Source organism: Homo sapiens, chromosome X (genome assembly GCF_000001405.40).
Source record: "Homo sapiens chromosome X, GRCh38.p14 Primary Assembly".
NCBI classification, from domain to species: Eukaryota; Metazoa; Chordata; class Mammalia; order Primates; family Hominidae; genus Homo; species Homo sapiens.
This window is the reverse complement of record NC_000023.11, coordinates 93683462-93704248: the sequence shown is the minus strand read 5'-3', so window position 1 is coordinate 93704248 and position 20787 is coordinate 93683462. Positions and strand designations below refer to the sequence as shown.

General features: G+C 34.8%; 1 protein-coding gene across 14 annotated transcripts in view; it reads right to left on the bottom strand.

Annotated features, from left to right (window-relative positions):
• Positions 1–20787, bottom strand: part of FAM133A (family with sequence similarity 133 member A) — a 38585-nt gene that overhangs the window by 8017 nt on the left and 9781 nt on the right. For 8 of the 14 annotated variants that reach the window (XM_011530926.4, XM_011530927.3, NM_001171110.2 and 5 more), the window contains one exon: positions 5764–5852. The exons of 1 other annotated variant lie outside the window; for it this stretch is intronic. The gene's annotated coding sequence lies outside the window, so the exon portion shown is untranslated. Of the gene's footprint in view, positions 1–5763; positions 5853–7916; positions 8027–20787 lie in introns of those variants that run through there. 5 more of the 14 variants (XM_011530929.2, XM_011530928.2, XM_017029456.2 and 2 more) reach the window with 3 other exon arrangements.

The following is a 20787-nucleotide window of genomic DNA, read 5'->3' as shown; positions in this document are numbered from 1 at the left end:
TTTCACATTGGATGATAATATAGAAAATAACAATAGTGCAATCTAAGTCACAGGACAAATGAAAAATAAAGAGGTTTTTTTGGAAAATTTAATCATATATATTAATTTCCAGGAAATACATAGCTCCAGCAAGGGTGTGTAATATAATATCCTTTTTTTCCTAAATAAAAGCCAAGCATGAACACATCCTATTCTAGTTGTCAACATGACTGTTCTGAAGCAGAAATTATCACTCTTATCCTGACTGGAATCAACATGGTAGAAAACTGTGCAGTGTGGAAACAGTTCTTCTCATGTATATTCCCTCCAGCATAGTTCTGTCATGGAGCATTTGTCATTCTAAGGAAAATGTGAGAATTTAAAATATCTCTTCCTCTTTCTTCCCTCTACAGAACTGTCAAGTGACAAACAGTCAATCTCCGCCATCTTAAGGATGATATCTGAAAGCTTATAGAAGCAACAAAATATTGTAGATGCAAGTGATAAGATAGAAAAGAATGACGTGACAGGGTAGAAGCTCCAAGTATAAATGTTTGTCAAATGTTTGTTTTAAAGAAATGAGCACTTCACTCTCTCATTTACCTTAATATAGTAAGACATTTTGAATTTTGTATTCAGAAAAACAAATCATCACTATTGTTTAGCTTTTATGCCAATCAAGTGATATGTATTTTTAAACACGCTTTTTATTTAAAATATTTTAGATTTACAGAAAATTTGCAAATACTGTACAGAGAATTCCTGTATCCCCTGCATCTAGTTTCTCTTACCGTTAATATCTTACATTGATATGGAACATCTACCACAACTAATGAACCAGTACTGACACACTATTGTTAACTAATGTCCATTCTTTATTCAAAGTTCCTTAGTTTTCAGCTAAGTCCTTTTACTGTCCCAGGAATCCATCTAAGATACCACATTACAAGTAGGCATCATGTCTCCTAGGCTCCTCTGAACTGTGGCAGAGGAATTTGTTTTTGATGACCGTGACTGTCTTGAGGAGTAATCATCAGTTATTTATTTTATAGAAGGTTTATTTTATATTTATTTTATTTTTGAGACAGGATCTCACTCTGTTGCCCAGGCTGGAGTGCAGTGGCATCATTTCGGCTCACTGCAACCTCTGCCTCCTGGGCTCAAGCGATTCTGTTGCCTCAGCCTCCTGAGTAGCTGAGACTATAGGCATGTGCAACCACATCTGGCTAATTTTTGTATTTTTTCGTAGAGACAGGGTTTCGCCATGTCACCACGGCTGATCACGAACTCCTGGACTCAAGTGATCCACCTGCCTTGGCCTTCCAAAATGCTGGGATTACAGGCGTGAGCCACAGTGCCTAGCCTAGAATGCTTTTCAATTTGGGTTTGTCTAGTGTTGTTTTTTTTTTTTTTTTTTTTTTTTTTTTTTTTTATCATAGCTATAATTAGATTGTAAGTTTTTGGGAGAAATAACACAAAGGCAAAGTACCATTCTCATCACATCATATCAAGGGTATGTACTACTAACTTATTGCTAAGGTTACTAACCTTGATCACCTGACCAAAGTAGTATTTATCAGTTTTCTCCACTCTAAGATTATTCTCCTCCCATTTCCGTACTGTACTCTTTGGGAAAAAAGTCACTATGTGCAGCCCACACTTAAAGAACGGGAAGTTACATTTCAACTTCTTGATGGTGGTATGCCTACATAAATTTTCTGGAACTCATCTGTACAGGAGATTTTTCCATTTATCCCCATGTATTAAGTCACTTATTTATACCAGTATCGATTCATGAGTATTAATTTTATACTTTGGGTAATATTCCAACACAATTTTATTTTGTTGATTAAACTATTCCAGCTTTGGCCACTGAAAGCTCTTTTAGTTAGCTCCTGTGTCCCTCTGACATTAACTCCCTCATTTTGATTCTTAAGTACTCCCTTACTTGCTGGCTCTTACAAGATGTTCCAGTACCATTTTGTATAACCCCTGCATTAGCCCTAGAATCAGCTATTTCTACAGAGCCCGGGTTCCTTTTACTGCAGAACGATAATAGAAAACAAGACCTTGGCACTGGGTGTGCTTATTGCTATTGGGATATTGTTTCTTCCAGGCCTTCTCAATGGACAGAGCTACAAAATATGTAAAATGTTTTTAATTCATTCGATCACATATTAAGTTTAAATTAAGCACTTTGCACGCGACAGGAATTATTTAAAGATGATATATAGAATACTGTGTTTACTATAATGGACATCTAGGTGATATGACTGAGTCATCATCGACAAAGTCCATTTATTTCTCAAGTAGTAGGAATGGATCTGTCCTGCATATACTTCTGAAATTCTTTGAAAGTCTAAGAGTATAGTCTAATAAAAAGCGTAAAGGCCCTCAGAGAAACTAAATTTGCAAGCTTTGACCCTTTAGCACTTTACCCTAGCCAAGAAGCCATGAACTAAATAACAATAGTTTCTATAGTTCCAGTGTCAATGCTTTAGGAAATCCTCTGTAGAAAACCATTATATACATAAATACCAACTTCAAATACGCATTTTCCAAGAAGGTACTTGTTTTGAAAATGCATTTGATATGTTTTGGATACTCACTAGTAACTTTCTTGATTCTTTCTTGACAACAGATTTTGCTCTAGAGCCCTATGTTCAGATGTAGTGGGACATGACTACATATGAAGTAACCAAAATGTCCTAGAGCCCTGAAAATTCCAGCCCCTCTATTTTCACGGGTCACCTTACATGAAACAAATCTAATTAAATACTAGTTTATTTCCATCTATGTGATATGACTACTTATATAAAAATACACCCCAAACAAATAAGGTTTGCCCTATGTTCTCTGCCCATTGTCCTAGTTCCTATTTAACAAATGTCTTGTAAGTTTTGTAGAAATCCTTGACAAGGTTCCTCAAATTACAAATCTTATTAAGCCAGTGTTGTTCAGCACTGAACACCTAAAATCAATTTTATTTGGATTTGACCAGTATGCAAATGAAAAATTATTTCAAACTTTCAGATTGAGATCAAACTGGACTTCCCATTTATTTCTTATAATTTCATCTACATTTTAGCTTTAAACTAAAGCAATATATTTTATAGTAGAGGACCATAATATGCACTTTGAGGCAATGCACTGTGCATACAAACCGATTTGCAATCTAAAATATGTCAACATTTCCCTAGCATCTAGTTGTGCCAAGATACACATGTCATCTCGTCTAACAACTTATCAAAGATAAGGCCTTAAGCATAGGAAGCAAAATACCAGGGGAGTTCTTTACTATTTTTCCCAGTGAACATAATTCAAAACATATCTATTTGTGCATGGCTTTAAATAGCATTACTTGGTTTTACATGTATCAGTGCCTTCTGCAAACTGCCACCCCCACATAAATTTTTTTAATGTATTTCTGAAAAGAGAACAGAGAATTTGATGTAAATATACTGGCTGAGAAACAGCCAAAAGTACTACGTTATTTATTGAAGCTGGATACACTTATATGAGTTTTAGATTTTCTCACATTAGAAATGTCTATGTATATGTACATTTCCTTAAAATCCAAAGGCCAGAGTATATTTGTTAACGTAACTAAATTATAGATGACTACTGAAAATAATAGCACGTAATGGTCAGAAGCATCAAAAACTGTGCAAATTTATATTATAATTATCATACTGGAATCAAAAAGGACTATATTTCCATAACTGGCATGATTTGAAAAAACATGTGGAGGGATCACTCAGTATTCATCGTCAGAGGGAGAAAATTTAAAATGGAAAAATGTCTTAAGCTGAGATTGAAACTGGATGGCAAAAATATATAACCTGAATGTAGGTGATTCATTCATTCACTCAACAAATTTTTATTGAGATCCTACTGTGAACCACACACTGGTATTAGAGAAGGCTTTATGGGGCTTACATTTTAGAGAAGAAAAATAATTAGCAAATTTGGTTTTTATTCCAAATATATCAGAATGAGTCTAACCAGGACTTTAATAGAAAATATTGGGAGTGGCGGTTGGGGGATGGATAGAGGAAAAAGTTAAATGACATAATGAAAAAACAGGCAGATAAATCTAGAATGTGGAAGATTCCATAAAACAGCTGATTTCCTCTAAAAATCAATTTCATGGACTAAAAGAAAAATTATTTTAGGAAAAAACTTTAAAGAGACATAACCTTGATTTAATCCTAGTTCAATTAAAAAAAAAACATGTATCAGAGGCTTCTTTCTAGAAATGTTCTCAAATTAGATTAAGATGATGGCTGTACAACTTTTGTAAATTTGCAGTAAATCATCAAACTGTACACCTAAAATAAATAATTCTCATGGTATAAAAACTCCAATAAAACTGCTAAAAACTGGGGGGAGGCTCTAAGATATCTAATACTGATTAGGCATTAGATGATAGGAAAATACTTTAAGTAGCTTAAATATGGTAATACTGAGATTACAGAGAATGCCCTTATTTTTAGGCAATATATGCTGCAGTATGTGCATATGAAGCGTCATGAGGTCTGTAACTTACTTTCAAATTATGCAGCAAAACAGAGAAAGAAAATAGAACGAAATGATAAAAGTTCTTGGCTCTAGATTGCGGGTATATAGGTGTTAGTCTTCAGGTTTTCCAAGTGCTTAAAAATTTCATAAGAAAAAGTTGGAAAATATATTATTTTTAAGAGATTAAAAGAAAGCCGCTGGAGGATATTAGGTAGGGAATGACAATCTGTTGTTACTGAACATATTAACAAACAAATTGGACCTGCTTACTATATGATTTGATCAGTTAGACAGAAATATCTCAATGCTGTGAATACTGAATAAATTTAGTATTTATGAGAAAAAATAATTGATGATGAAGCTGCAGATAGACTTGGCCTAATGTCATGTGTGTGGCAGTATGAATAGTGGTAATGCAATTCACCTTTCCTTTCTGCTTTCTATCTGTCCCATCTTTTACCTTTCAGTTTTGGCTAGTCTACTTTTGTTATGCCAAACACACGAAGTCAAGAATCCCTAAGGTACATGGCATAATAACCAAAGACCTTAACTAAATCTATGAACTCCAACCTAAATAATTTAGCCACTGATTAACTCTTCCTCTTTATCTTCTGCCAAATTCATTCTCCCCTCTGTCTGTACTTCAAGCTCAGTAGCTTCTTTCTTTCAGTATCCCTGATATGCCATATTCCCTCTGCCCAAGACCTTTTCAAGTAGTATTCCCTCCCTAAGTGCAACCTTAGTATCATTTACATAGGGAAGCCTTTCTTGATGTCCTTGAAAAAGTTAGGTGTGGTAATCATACTCTAATTATTTGTGTAATCATTTGTTTAATACCATTTTCCCCCACTAGATCGTGGATTCTATAAGGAAAGGATTCATGTCTTCAGAGTTCACCACTGAAGCTCTCAAAAAAATAAGCAAATATACATGCTATTATTTATCTCATTTACAAACCAAAAGAAACCACCTGTATTAACCTCATTTCCTCTAAAATCTATTGCTCCATTTCTCTGCTTACTGTTTCAGCAAAACTGGAAATAGCTACTTATACAAAGTTTTCAACTCCTTTCCTCTCAGTCTCTCTTGAACTCATAACAATGGAACTTTCACTTCAAACACTCCATGGGAACTTTTCCTCTCTAGGTTATGAATGACCTCCATGTCACTAAATCTCATGATCAATGATTATTCTTCATTTTAACCTCATGGATCAGCATAATTTGACAGAGTGGATCACTCCCTCTTCCTTGAAACACTTACCTCAATTGGCTTGCAGGATAACACACACTCTAGGTTTTCCTCTCACCTTTTCCAGCTGCTTCTTTCCAGGTTCCTTTTCAGGTTCTCCACTTTTACCACAGATAAATGAGAAATAAGATAATGTTTGTCAAAGTTATTGCACTAACATGGCAGTAAGTTTTAGGTTACAGAACTAAAACTTAGAGTAACAAAAAATGTAAGAAAATTTGAGGAGGTATGTGACCACAAGAAAATACTGTTTTATCAGGCAAATTAATCACCCCTTTTAGAAAGTTACGATTAGCACTTTCTTAACATTATTGTTATTTATTCAATTGTAAACAACTATCTACTATAAATAACTATAGATTGCTCCCTGCTCTCCCACTTTTTCTACCTATAATTGTTTACCTAACGTATTCCTTCCTCACTGCCTATTGAAACCACTCTATCCTCAATCTAATCATTGTTCTAAAACCCAATTTCTTTAAACAAAATTCTTCCCCATCACCTACACTTCTATTTTATATTTCAATAGTGCTTTAAACCTAATAAAGTAAATTAATGAAAGAGCGACTGGGGTAATATTTATAAAATAATTTTCCCCACCCTAAGTAATCTAAGAAATAAATTCATTTTTAATGTTCCTCAGTGTCCCTGAACTTTGATTGCCAACAAAAACTGATGAATATAGAACTCTGACAGTAAAAACAGCTATTCCTAAAAAACAGGAACTCAAAGTATGGTCCCATGACCATGGGCATCTTCAAGATCCTTTCAGGGAGTCTCCAAGGTTCTCCTTTTCCTAACTATGTATTTGTGTAAGGTCTGATTTTCTTCATATACTTCAACTAAAATATCATATCACAACAGACTGAATGTAGAAACAGATAAGAAAATTATTAAGCTAGGCATTAAGGAGATTTTAAAAAATATGCAGTAGTATATCTTGTTTTCACTAAATGTTTTTAATTTGGAAAATACAGTTATATTTTATAAAGTGTTACCTGGTTAACAGGTAATGGATTTATTCTTGGTATTTTCAAACGGGTTAAATATTGTAAACATTTCTCAGTTTTACTTTTAATACCACAAATATCAATAGCTACTATATATCAGATATTATTTACCACATAAATAAATGCTTTTTAAGGTTCTTGGTAATTTGTAACAGTGCAAAGGAATCCTGAGATTAAAAAGTTGGAGAAACTTCTCTCTGAAAAAGTGTTTCTCAAATAATACCCACTGACCACCTGTCTTATTTTTATTAAAAACATATTTTTATTTTTAATATATTAACCTGCCTATGATATATTATATATATATATATATATATATAACTTGCCTATATTTATTAAAAATACAGATTTTTGATTTTGCAGAATGCCTACTAAATCATAATTTTGGGGGAACTTGTCATGAGTTTACATTTTCAACATGGTCTCCGGTTGATTCTTATACACATTAAAATTAGAAAAATCAAGGGAAGGGGTATATAGACTTTGAAGTCTGATTAATTCAAACTCTAGTTCGTACACTTCCTGGTTGTAACCCTAGCCTACACTACCTTTTTTTTTTTTTCTTTTTGAGACGGAGTCTCACTCTATCGCCCAGGCTGGAGTGCAGTGGCGCGATCTCGGCTCACTGCCAGCTCCGCTTCCCGGGTTCACGCCATTCTCCTGACTCAGCCTCCCGAGTAGCTGGGACTACAGGCACCCGCCACCATGCTCGGCTAATTTTTTGTATTTTTAGTAGAGACGGGGTGTCACTGTGTTAGCCAGAATGGTCTCGATCTCCTGACCTCGAGATCCCCCCGCCTCGGCCTCCCAAATTGCTGGGATTACAGGCGTGAGCCACTGCGCCCGGCCGCCTATACTACTCTTAAGCAATTTCCAGCTCTTAGTTTCCCCTCCCCCTATGTCCCGAATCCTATTCTAACTGCATATACTCAATTAAATAATTGCTCATTTCTTGAAGAAGCTCCAAGCTTTTGTATCAGAGAAGTTTTAGAGGCAGTAATCTGGGTCTGAGAGAAAGAACACTGGAAAGGAAACTTGCACTTCCATAAGAGACACGTTGTTTTTACTTAAATTGTTTTGAGGTGGCTATGAGAAGATGATGGCGATTTTAATGGGATTCTGTCTCCCAAGCTACTCCTTGGCATCGACACTTACCTGTTTGCTTCTGCTATTGAACAGAGAGGGCCCCCTCAGAGGATTTTATTTTCTGTTCTTCACCTCCAAGCATACGGCGGGTGAAGATGGCAGCCATTTTGTCTTGCCCTAGCCCCAACCCAAATCAGTTATTTTTATCGAGCTGCCTGGTAACTCCTCAACGCTCGTTGTAGTTTGAATACACAGTTCTGACCAATCACAGGCTTAGAACTGGTTAGACTGTTACCAATTCAGTCAGTTAACAGAAACCTAACAGAAACCCATGAAATTTTGCCCAGCAGTGAACTATCCTTTTAAGAAAGTTTTCCTCTGTATAAAAGTGCTGCTCATAGTTCATTAACCCTCAGGATGAGAATTATACAGAGTGAAGTTTAAAAATGCAGATTCCTGGCCAGGCGCAGTGGCTCACGCCTGTAATCCCAGCACTTTGGGAGGCTAAGGTGGGTGGATCACAAGGTCAGGAGATCGAGACCATCCTGGCTAACATGGTGAAACCCCGTCTCTACTAAAAATACAATAAAAAATTAGCCAGGCGTGGTGGCGGGCGCCTATAGTCCCAGCTACTCGGGAGGCTGAGGCAGGAGAATGGCATGAACCCGGGAGGCGGAGCTTGCAGTGAGCAGAGATCGCGCCACTGCACTCCAGCCTGGGCGAAAGAGCGAGACTCTGTCTCAAAAAAAAAAAAAAAAAAAAAAAAAGCAGATTCCTGTGTTTCATCCCAGACCAAGTGTGTCAGAATTTCTGGGAATAAGACCTAGGAATTTAAAAAATGTCTTCAGGGGCCTGGCATGGTGGCTCACGCCTGTAATCCCAGCACTTTGGGAGGCCTAGGCGGGCAGATCACCTGAGGCCAGGAGTTCGAGACCAGCCTGGCCAACGTGGTGAAACCCATCTCTACTAAAACTAGAAAAATTAGCCAGGCGTGGTGGCACGCGCCTGTAATCCCAGCTACTCGGGAAGCTGAGGCAGGAGAATCGCTTGAATCCAGGAGGCGGAGGTTGCAGTGAGCCTAGATTGCGCCATTGAACTCCTGCCTAGGCGACAAGAGTGAGACTCCATCTCAGAAAAAAAAAACAAAAACAAAATGTCTTCAGGTTATTATGATAGAAACTAAAGTCTGAAAACCATTGCCATAGGAAAAATTTCACATAAAAACAATACAGAGAATAGGAAAAATATGCATATTCTCTATCATCACCTAGTTCTTTTACCAACTGCAAACAGATGGATGTTGTCACCAACATGCCCTTCTATATAGACATATTTATTTCCTTCCAATTAGACACTATTATTCTGCAGTGTCCCAGTAGCACCAAGAGTAGTGAGGCTAATTCTCCCTGTCTAAAGTCATAAGATATTTAAGTATAAATTAGAATGCCCATGCAATAGCTTATACTGGGAAATATTATAAACACAGGAATGTTTAGTTTGATAACCAGCATATTACATCTCTATTAAAGGATATACATACTTTTGTATGTATATCATACATTAAAATCATAATCAGAGTTTTCCTTGGTGAGCCTGGAATCACTAAAAAGAGAGTCAGTAGATTTTTTTAATGATCACTGCCTCAAGGTTTAATTTGATGTACTTACCCATCTCCATCATTGAGATAGGGACTAGAATATTCCAATCTACTAATCAGGACACCCTCTTTCCCAGACAGTGCTGGAAACCTGCAACTAGCTCTCTGATTTTCCCTAATAGAGCTGTTTTCCTTCTGATAATTCATTCTCCTGTTAAATGATTAGATTTTACTTTTTCAATTTATAATCACGGTCTATTTGTGTCTCCTTCAGACTCAACCAAAACTCTGGGTGTTTCCAAATTGAATTATCTACTCACCAGTCATCTCTTGGGTTAATTTTGCAGGTGTTTTATCTTACTGGGGATTTAAATTTTTCCTAATTTCACCTTGAATTTCTGACCCCTTTGTATTGATTTCACACGCTACATCGAATTTTAAAAGTACAAGCAATCAACTTTTAAAGAGATCTCAAGAATGTTTAGTATAAAGTCTATTAATTGTAAAAATCCCATGGCAGAAGTTTTTCATTGTGTTATATTAACTGGAGAATATTTTCAAAGTGGTTTACTGCAAAAAAAAAGATATTCCATATGAAAATATTATAAACAAGCATGTAATATCATCTTTCTCAAAAGATGCTCAGTAATATTGACATTTTTCATCTGCATTTTGCATTTCTACCTCTGCTTCTCTTGATCTTACTCTCACTTTCTAAACATACAAGATGATCCCTGTGCTGCCAACCAAATGTTATTTTTTCTCTGTGCTCACTTGTTCTTTCCCTTTAAAAAAAATATACCTTGGGTTTTGTAAAAGGTCTAAAATACAGGTGTTTTATTGTACTAGATAATAACATTTTAATTTTAACAAATATTATATTCATAATCTATTATCTAGGTAATTCTTTATTCAACCTTTTACACTGTGGAAATACTTCAAAAGAGCAATTTGAAAGAAGCAAATGCTAACCTTGTTGTTACTTCAAAGTTAAAACTTTCTTATAAAACTTCTATAAGAAACATTAGTTACAAAAAGCAAAAGCAATAAAATTAGTACTAAAATGCATGGATGAATGCTACCTTTAGAAGGGGTTTGGACTTCAAAAAGGGTTCTAATGTTGCATCTCAACTTGTAATGGTTATGAAACCATAGGCTGATCTTTTAGTCTTTATTAGGATAGTCTTCACATTGGTAAAATGAAAAATGCTGTCTCTACCTTGTGGGTTTTTGTGAAAATCAAATATAGTACTAATAGGGGCACACTTCAAAAAGGCAAATGTGTCATACTGATGTAATTTCATATTGTTAGAATTGTTAATATTAAGAATTATCATGCTGTCACAAGGATATAAAGGGAGGACCATGTGGCTCTATTTAACAAAAATTCCAAAGCAAATTTTGAAATTAAAGAATATATATCTCAGTGACATTACACTCTCTCTCTCTCTCTCAAGCTTTTAGGAGGCTCCTATACATAATACAGATGGCTATACAAATATTGTACACTGGGTTTGCCCAGCTTGCATACATATTATTTATTCTTTTCTCTGTCCAGTCCATCTTCCATACTGCCAACTCTAGTTACCTACTTTAAAATAAAACCCTGACTTTTTAAAATGTCATTAGTTTGTCAGAAAGACCCTGGCTTCCACTTGCTTCTCCAAACTCATCTCCCCTTAACTTTCTTCCTCTTATTCTCTTTTCTTTTTGACTCATCACTATAACTCCTATGCTACAGCCCTAGAAAATACCTTACAGTTCCTCAAATATTTCTGGGTCTTTTCTAACTCTTTGAGTTTAAACAATCATATTCTTTCCTTTGGCTGGAAACCTTTCCTTTAATCCCTGACTTTTCTGATCCTCTTAGTAGGAATTAATTTCCTTCTGCCCTATATTTCCATGACATGTTGTTCACTCATTCATTCAAACAATATTTATGGAGTGTCTATTATGTTCCAAACACTGTGCTAGGAAATGCTGACAACATGGAAGTAAACAATACAATCATGGTTCCTAACCTCATAGATTTTATGGATGTTCATATTAAATAAATCACAAGTAACTACATAATTAAAAATATGACAGTGCCATAATGGTTCAATAGCAGCACATAACTACTACCTAGTCTGCAGGATCCTTAGGGAAGCAATGATGATTTATTCACCCATTATTTCCTGTGGTATTGAATATATAAGAAGTGCTGGAATATATCTGTTTGTTTATTTAAATTACAAAGCCAATCTCAGTAACTGTTTCATCACCATGCTAAACATAGTCTATTCAATGCAAAAAAAGGAAACTATTCAGTAACCTAAATGTTTTGTCTTTATAAGACAAGTGTTAGTTTAACATGTTTTTTGACTGAATTGGCATCTCAATACATACTATGTTACTGAGCATTTGGAGCTAGAAGCACTTGGAACATAAATTCTCATAAAAATACACAGATGACAGAACTTCCAGTTATGACCAGATGAGAAGATCAGGAAATCCTTTCCCACAGAAGAATTACAGGTTGAGTATACCTAATGTGAACATCAGAAATCCAAAGTGCTTCAAAATCCAAAAGATTCTGAGTGGCAACACGACATTCCCAGGAAATATTCATTGGAGCATTTTGGATTTTGAATTTTTGATTAGGGCTATAGAATCGGTAAGTATAATGCAAATACTTCAAAATCCAAAAAAATCCAAAATCTGAAACATTTCTGGTCCCAAGTCTTTTGGATAAGGAATATTCAACCTGTATAAGCCTGGACAAAATTAACAAAAGCAACCATTTTGGTACTCTGGAAATTAACCAAAAACATACCTCCATCTAAGAAGCATTTATGCTTGAAAAATCTCTGCCTTTTGGATAAGAATAGTAGGTAACTGTGGCCTACAGCTGCTCCCATAACTCCCCACCCTTAGCTCATTTAGCTCAGAGGTTCTATCAGGACTCATACACCGAAAAACAAAACATTACTGAAAGAAATTAAAGAATATCTAACTAAATGAAGAGACATTTCATACTCTTGGGTTGGAAGGATCAACACTGTCAACATGGCAATTCTCCCTAGTTTGAATAATAGATTAAATCCAACCCCTATAAAAATACCAGCTGGCTTCTTCACAGAAATTGACAAGTTGATCTAAAACTGACACATTGATTGGAAGATTCGTATAAGAGTACAAGGGATCCAGAATAGCTGAAACAATCTTGAAAACGTAGAGTAAAATTGGATGACTCATACTTTCTGATTTCAAAACTTACTATAAAGCCACAGTTAAGACAATGTGGTGTTGACATATAATATAAATAAGTGGAGCAGAATTGACAGTTTAAAAACAAATGCATACATTTATGGTCAATTGATTTTTTACAAAAGGACAAAGACATTTCAGTGGTGAAAACGATAGTCTTTTCAACAAATGGACATTTGTGTATCCATCTTTTTTGAAAAGAAAGAAATTAGACACTTCACACCATATATAAAAAGTTAACTCAAAATAGATCACAGACCTAAATGTAAGATCTAAAGGTAAGAGCTAAAATTATAAAATTCTAGAAGAGAATATAGGAGAATATTTTGATGAGTTGGGGTTGGGCAAAGAGTTCTTAGGTAAAATATTGAAAGCATGTTTCAAAGAAGAGAAAAATTATAAATTGGACTTCATCAACTTGTGTTACTCAAAAGTCATCATTAAAAGAACATAAGAGAAAATATTGCAAATCATATATCTGATCATATCCAGAATATTTGAAAAACTCTTACAAGTCAATAATTTTTAAGACCAAAAAATTAAAAATTGGCAAATAACTTGAATAAATATTTCTTCAAAGAAAACACATTAGGGAAATGCAAATCAGAAGTCCAACAAGAAACTACTACACATACACTAGAATGGCCATAATAAAAAAGGCAAATTATACCAAGTGTTGATGAGGACGCACAGAAAGTGGCCCACAGTGCATTTGCAGATGGTAATGTCATATAGTACAGCCACATTGGAAAATATTTTGGTAGTTTCTTAACAAATTAATCACAAATATACCATACAACACAGCAATTCTACTCCTAGAAATATATCCATGAGAAACAAAAACATTTGTCTACACAAATACATGTATGTAAACATGTATAATAGCATTACACATAATAACAAAAATAACTGGAAACAGTCCAAATATCCACCACCTAGTAAATGGATGAATAAAATGTGATACAGTCATACAATGGAATAGTATTCATCAATTAAAAAGAAAAATTATTGATCCATGCTATAACATGGACGGACCTCAAAAACATAAGTGAAAGAAGCTGGGCACAATGAGGAATATACTGTATGATTCTATTTAGATAAAATGTACAGAAAAGGCAAATTTATATAGACAGAAAACAGAAGAGTGTTTGCTTAAGCCTGGTTGTAAAAACAAGGATTGACTGCTAACAGGCCCTAGATAACTTTCTGGGGAGACAGGAAAATTCTAACAATTATGGTGATGGTCCCATAACTCTCTATAAATTTGCTAAAATTATTGAATTATACACATATAATGAGTGAAATTTATGGTATGTAATTATATTTCAATAAAGGTTTTTAAAAAACACACAGGGATGCAGTAAATAAAAACAATTTAGTGGATTTTCTTAAGTCCTTACTTAGCTTTTTTAGGCTCACCGTATGCACCCATTTTCATAATTTCTACTTCTATACTAACACTCTTTACACCCAAGTCTATATCTCCAGCCCTGACTTCTAAGTCTTTTTTTTTTTCCAGTTTTCATCTCATATAGTTGGTTACCTCTTATACTACTCCTGGCAAAAGTTAACTCCTCCACCTCTTGCTTTCCTTCTCAATTTTCCCATACCTATTAGTGGCACCTATATTTTCCTATGTTTCTCACAACTTCAGTGTTGTTTTCAGTCTCCTTATCTTAATCCCACATTAAATTAGAAACCTAGTAAAACTGATTTTCTCCAAAGCATCTCTTAAATGTGCCCTTTCCATTGTCTCATCAAATAAGTCTTGCTCGTTTGATATCCTTATGCATAGGTGCTAAAGCAATCTACCTCACGTTCTATCTTCATATCACTACAGTCCTTGAAAACTTGTAGTGTCTTTAAATTTACATATGCATTTTTTCAACCAAAAATATCTGCTGAAAAAAAAACACAAATAAAAAATAACCATGGAGTACACTACTTATATGTAAACATACCTTGTTGATTATACTTCCAGATATTTTAATGCATATTTATACCCTTTATTTAAAAAAACAAATTTATATACATAATATTTTGTAACCTGTTTGCATGACTAAATACTATATCATGATCATCTTTCTAAGTCAATAAATACTTATCACTATTGATAGCGGATTAGTATTCCTTTGGATAGATGAACTTTATTTTATTTAATCAACTATTACTTTTACCAAAAATTTTTAAAATTAATTAAAAAATGATTGCTGTGGCCAGGTGCAGTGGCTCATGCCTGTAATCCCAGCACTTTGGGAGGCCGAGGTGGGAGGATCACCTGAGGTCAGGAGTTTGAGACAAGACTGGCCAACATGGTGAAACCTCGTCTCTACTAAAAATACAAAAATTAGCCGGGCATGGTGGCAGATGCCTGTAATCCCAGCTACTTGGGAGGCTGAGGCAGGAGAATTGCTTGAACCTGGGAGGCGGAGGTTGCAGTGAGCCGAGATCACGCCATCGCACTCCAGCCGCGGAGACTTTGTCTCATAAAAAAAAAAAAAAAAATTGCTGTTACCTATTATATTAAATCTAAATTTATAACCCTTGTATTCTCCAATACCATCTCTATATGTTCCAACATAATCCCTTTATGCCAGACAAAGCAATCTGCTTGTACCACATATATATATAGTTAAGTCATGCTTTTACATTTTCTTATATCCTTAGCACTGATATTTAAAATTTTTAGAGTATTTATTTTACTTATTTATATAATTGTTCTGGGGGTGTCTCATACTTGTATTTTTTTCTCTCCTAAATTAGATTGTGAGCTACTCCTAAAGCAATTTTCAAGTTTGTTTTTTCTATCCCCACAAAGCAATCAATATAGTGCTACATATACAGTAGGTAATTAAATTAATATTGATTTAAATTAATGACTCACATTCTTGCATTCATTCATCATAAGTTCATTTGGCAAAAATGATTTTGAGAAAGTGAAATGAAATGAAAAACATTTATTATAAGTTAATGAACATCTACTACATACATAACACTGGGTTCTCAAGAAAACAAATAAATAAATGATACATGATCTCTCCTCTCAAGGGGTTTATAATCTATATGGGGAAAGTAAGGCACATAAATAGTTAGACAAATATACAAGACTACCATTCAAAAAAGATACTAACAAGCAATACATGATTAAAAGAAAATGAGGAAACAGAAAATCAGTGATTCGGGGACCAGTGAAAGGAGAGCTAAGTCTTAGAAAAGATAAGTTGAATATTAAAACATGAGAGATTTGGAGAAAAGGCAATCCTTACACACTACTGATGGGAATGTAAATTAGTATAGTCATTTTGAAAAAACAGTTTGGTGGTGCCTTAAAAAACTAAAAATTGAACTACCATATGATCCAGCAATCCCACTGCCTGGTGTATATCCCTCCGCCAAAAAAAAAAAAAGAAAGAAAAATCAGTATATCAAAGATGTATCTATATTCCCATGTTTATTGAAGCAATTTTCATAATAGCCATGATATAGAATCAACCTAAATGTCCATCAACAGATGAATGGACAAAGAAAATGTGATATACAGGCATAATGGAATGCTATTCAGCCATAAAAAGAGTGAAATCATGTCATTTGCAGCAACATGGATGAATCTGAAGAAGATTATGTTAAGTGAAATAATCCAGAGACAGAAAGATTCCACATGGTCTCACTAATACGTAGAATTTAAAAAGTTGTTCTTATGGAAGTAGAAAGTAGATTAGTGGTTACCAGAGGATGAGGAAGGTAGTGAGTTAGTCGGGGGATGGGAAGAGATTGGTCATTGCTACAAAGTTACAGTTAGGAAGAATAGATTCTGGTGTTCTATTGCATAGTAAGATGACTAGAGTTATCGACAATGCATTGTATATTTCAAAATCGCTAGAAGAAAGGTTACTGAATGTTCATCACAAAGAAATGATGTTTAAGGTGATGCATATGTCAATTGCCCTAGTTGATCATTATATAATATATATACATGTACCAAAACACCATGTTGTAACCCGTAAATATGTATAACCATTATGTGTCAATCACACATCTTTTTAAATTTTTAAAATATTTTAAATTTTATTTCAATAGTTTTTGGGGCACAGGTGGTCTTTGGTTACATGGATAAATTTTTTAGTGGTGATTTCTGAGATTTTAGTGCACTAATCACCTGAGCAGTGTACACTGTATCCAATATGTAGTTGTTTATCCCTCACCTCTTCCCACCCCTCCATCCGAGTCCTCAAAGTCCATTATATCATTCTTATGCCTTTGCATCTTCACACTTAGCTCCCACTTATAAGTGAGAACATACGATATTTCTTTTTCCATTCTTGAGTTACTTCACTTAGAAAAGTAGCCTCCAGCTCTATCCAAGTTGCAGCAAAGGCCATTTTATTCCATTTTATGGCTGTTGTATATATACCACATTTTCTTTATCCACTCATTGGTTGATAGGCATTTAGGTTGGTTCCATATTTTTGCAATTGTGAATTACATTGCTATTAAACATGCATGTGCAGTCATACATCCTTTTACAAAGTAACAGGTCAAAAGCATTGCAGGCAGTGGGAATGAGCTGAGTGAGAAAAGCAGATAGGAAAATTCAGGGCTCATGCAGAGGAAAATTAAGTTTGGAAAAGTAGGCTGAGGCCAGACAGTGAATGGCCATGAATGTCTGATAAATGAGTCTAGACTTGTTAAAATAGCCCTTTACTAAGCACTATTATGTGACTGGTGGGTCACATGCCTAGTGGGCATCTTTTGTACATTAGATATTGGAAATCCATTTCCTTTGTCTCATGGCACTCTTGTTTTCTTTTGAGAGTAGTCAAGTGAGACTATGACCAGCAGCCTCATCCTCCTATAGCCAAGTGGCAAGTAATTGAATTAAAAATGACTGATGTTCCAGTTTATCTCAGCCTCAACATCATGATTAGACTATTCTGGCTATGGGGCCATGTTGTATTCCCTGTTTCCGTGGTCTGCAGGGCTACTTCAGTTTCTGCCTGTTTCCACACCCGACTCACTAGCCTCCCATTGATTCTGTGAGACCCTGGTATTTTTCCAATGAATTAAATATTACATAAGTTAGCCAGAGTCTATTTCTGTTGCTTGTAACTAAAAAGTCCTAATTGACATAGCTATGTATTATTTTCCACATTTCACTGAAAAGAAGACTTTGTATTTGTGAAATTTAGTAAATTCCCAAGGCCACACAGCTAGCAAGTGGTAAATGTGGGTATGTTTGACTCTGGAATCTAAGTTGTATAAAATTACCTACTAGAGGCTATGTGTCAGGCCAAGGTTTAAACTCTAATTTAAATCTTCAAAACTGATGTTCTTATCCCTATGTCATTCTGGCTTTAAATGAGAAGTGACTGCAGATTTTAGAGAAGGGTATGATATAAAGAAAATTACATTTTAAAAGGGTTAATTTTTTTTTTTTTTTTTTTTTTTTTTGAGATGGAGTCTCACTCTGTCACCCTGGCTGGAGTGCAGTGGCGCCATCTAGGCTCACTGCAGCCTCCGCCTCCCAGGTTCAAGTGATTCTCTGCCTCAGTCTCCCGAATAACTGGGATTACAGGTGCCTGCCACCACGCCCAGCTAATTTTTGTATTTTCAGTAGAGACCAGGTTTCACCATGTTGGCCAGGCTGGTCTTGAACCCCTGACCTCAAGTGATCTGTCCGCCTTGGCCTCCCAAAGTGCTGGGATTACAGGCATGAGCTAGCATTCCTGGCAAAAGGGTTAATTTCAGAGTATGTAGGCTGGAAGGGAAGCAAGAGAGCTTGAGGTTGGAAGATAAATGAAGAAGGTGAGGTGAATAATCCATGTGGGAAATGACAGAAGTCTAAACAGTGAAATGATGGTTGGAACGTAAGACAGTGTAGAAGGGAACAATTATTAGAATATTCTATCGGTTTTCATGGCTATCTCTCTGAAATTTGCATCCTATTAATTTTTCTTTTTACTATTTTATAATAACTTTGGTCCAATGACTTCAAATTTCAGTCCAGTAAGCATAAGTCTTACTGAATTAAACAGAATCTCTTGGTAAGCATATTATAAACTTATAAGCATGCATAGATCATTTGCAGCTAAATTAGGTACACATCATTTGCAGAAAAAGTGCAATCTCCCTAGTGATTTTATGATCGAGCAATATTTTATAGGTTGAAATTTCTTCAAATCATCACAAAACTACAGGAAAAAAGGATATCATAAAATTAAGATAGACATTTGTAGAAATTGGCTCAAGTTTTTTCCTACAAGAGTAAAAATAAACTTTTCAGAAGAATGGTTAGCCAACTCACGATCTTCATTTTTCAGGTAAGAAAGGTCTCTAGAAGCAAGAGTCATTTTTCTCCATTAAAAACAGCTGTACGAGTCAATAAGAAAAAGAATAGAAGTTTTGAAATAAGAAGAAACAATTAAAAGTAATTTCACAGAACTTAGACTGTGAACATAATGGAGAGCAGGACAGTACTGCCTCTGATAACTTTATTGTCATCCCAAGAAAATACCATGCTTTTTGGAAAGAACAACGATGCATAAAAGCTTCAAATACCAATCAGAATAAAGCATAAGCTCTTTAAAAATTGTACAATTTACATGGCACCCATATATGATAATACCTCAGAGCAGCCAGTATGAGTGCTATTCAAGTGAAAGATAGTTCCTCTTTTGCAAAAGTAGTAATTGAAACACTATTTCAGCTTTCTGTATAAACTTTGACCAAATAATGACCCAATTTAAACAAACAATGTTATTCATTATTGTGTTAAATGTTTGTTTTTTTAATTATAAAAATAATATATGCTTGTTTTAAAAATTCAAAACGTGATTCAGAATAGAAAATACAAAGTTAAAGCTTTTCCTTCAATCTGATTTCACTGGTTCGGTGTATATATTGTCAGACATTTTTCTATGTGAATGAAAACAAACACACATGCACAGAACATATATGCATCTATACTTTTTTATATAGATGGGAGCAAATAATAGATATTGTCTCACAACTTGCTTTTTTCATTTGAAACTCTATTATGGACATCTTTTTTACATATTGAGAACCAGCTCTTTTGTTCTAAGTTACCAAGGCAGATATGCCCTTAAGCTCTGGTTTCTGGCATTTTCCCAACCATCTAAATGTTTCAATAACTGATTTTTGTATTAAAAAAATTGACTTCTGGCATAAAAAGAGGCACGTAGTTCAATAGAACAGAACAGAAAATCAAAACATTAATCCACATATCTACAGCCAACTGATTTTTGACAAAGGCTCCAAGAACACTCATTGGGAAAGGGCAGACTCTTCAATAAATAGTGCTGGGAAAATTGGATAACCATAGGCAGAAAACTGAAACTAGACTCCCCCACCTCTCTGCCTATACAACAATACACTCAAAATGGATCAGACTTACATGTAAGACACAAGACTATAAATCTATTAGAAGAAAACATAGAGTAAATGCTTCAGGACACTGGTTTGGGAAAAGGCTTTATGAATAAGACCTCAAAAACACAGGCAACAAAAGCAAAAGTAAACAAATGGGACTATATCAAACTAAACAGCTTATGCACAGCAAAGGAAACAATCAACAATGTGAAAAGTCTACCTAGAGAATGGGAGAAAATATTTGCAAAGTATTCATACAACAGGGAATTAATATCCAGAATATACAAAGAACTCAAAACAGCCAAAAAAAAACCCATTTCAAAAATTGGCAAATTAGCTGAATAGACATTTCAAAAGAAGACATGCAAACGGCCAACAAATATATGAAAACATATTCAACATCATTAATCATCAGGGATATGCAAATCAAAACCACGAAGAGATATCATTTCACCCCAGTTAGGATGGCTATTATAAAAAAGATAAAAATTAACAAATGCAGGTGATGATGCATAGAAAAGGGAACTCTTATACACTTTAAGTAGTGAACTAGTACAGCCACTATGGAGAACAGTATGGAGGTTCCTCAAAAAACAAGCATGCATAATTTTTATGATTATAATAGAAATATGATTTGACTTTCCAAAGAAAAGTATTTTTCAAACAATAAAGAAATTGGAGGGAAGTTGTTTTCCATAATTTATGAGA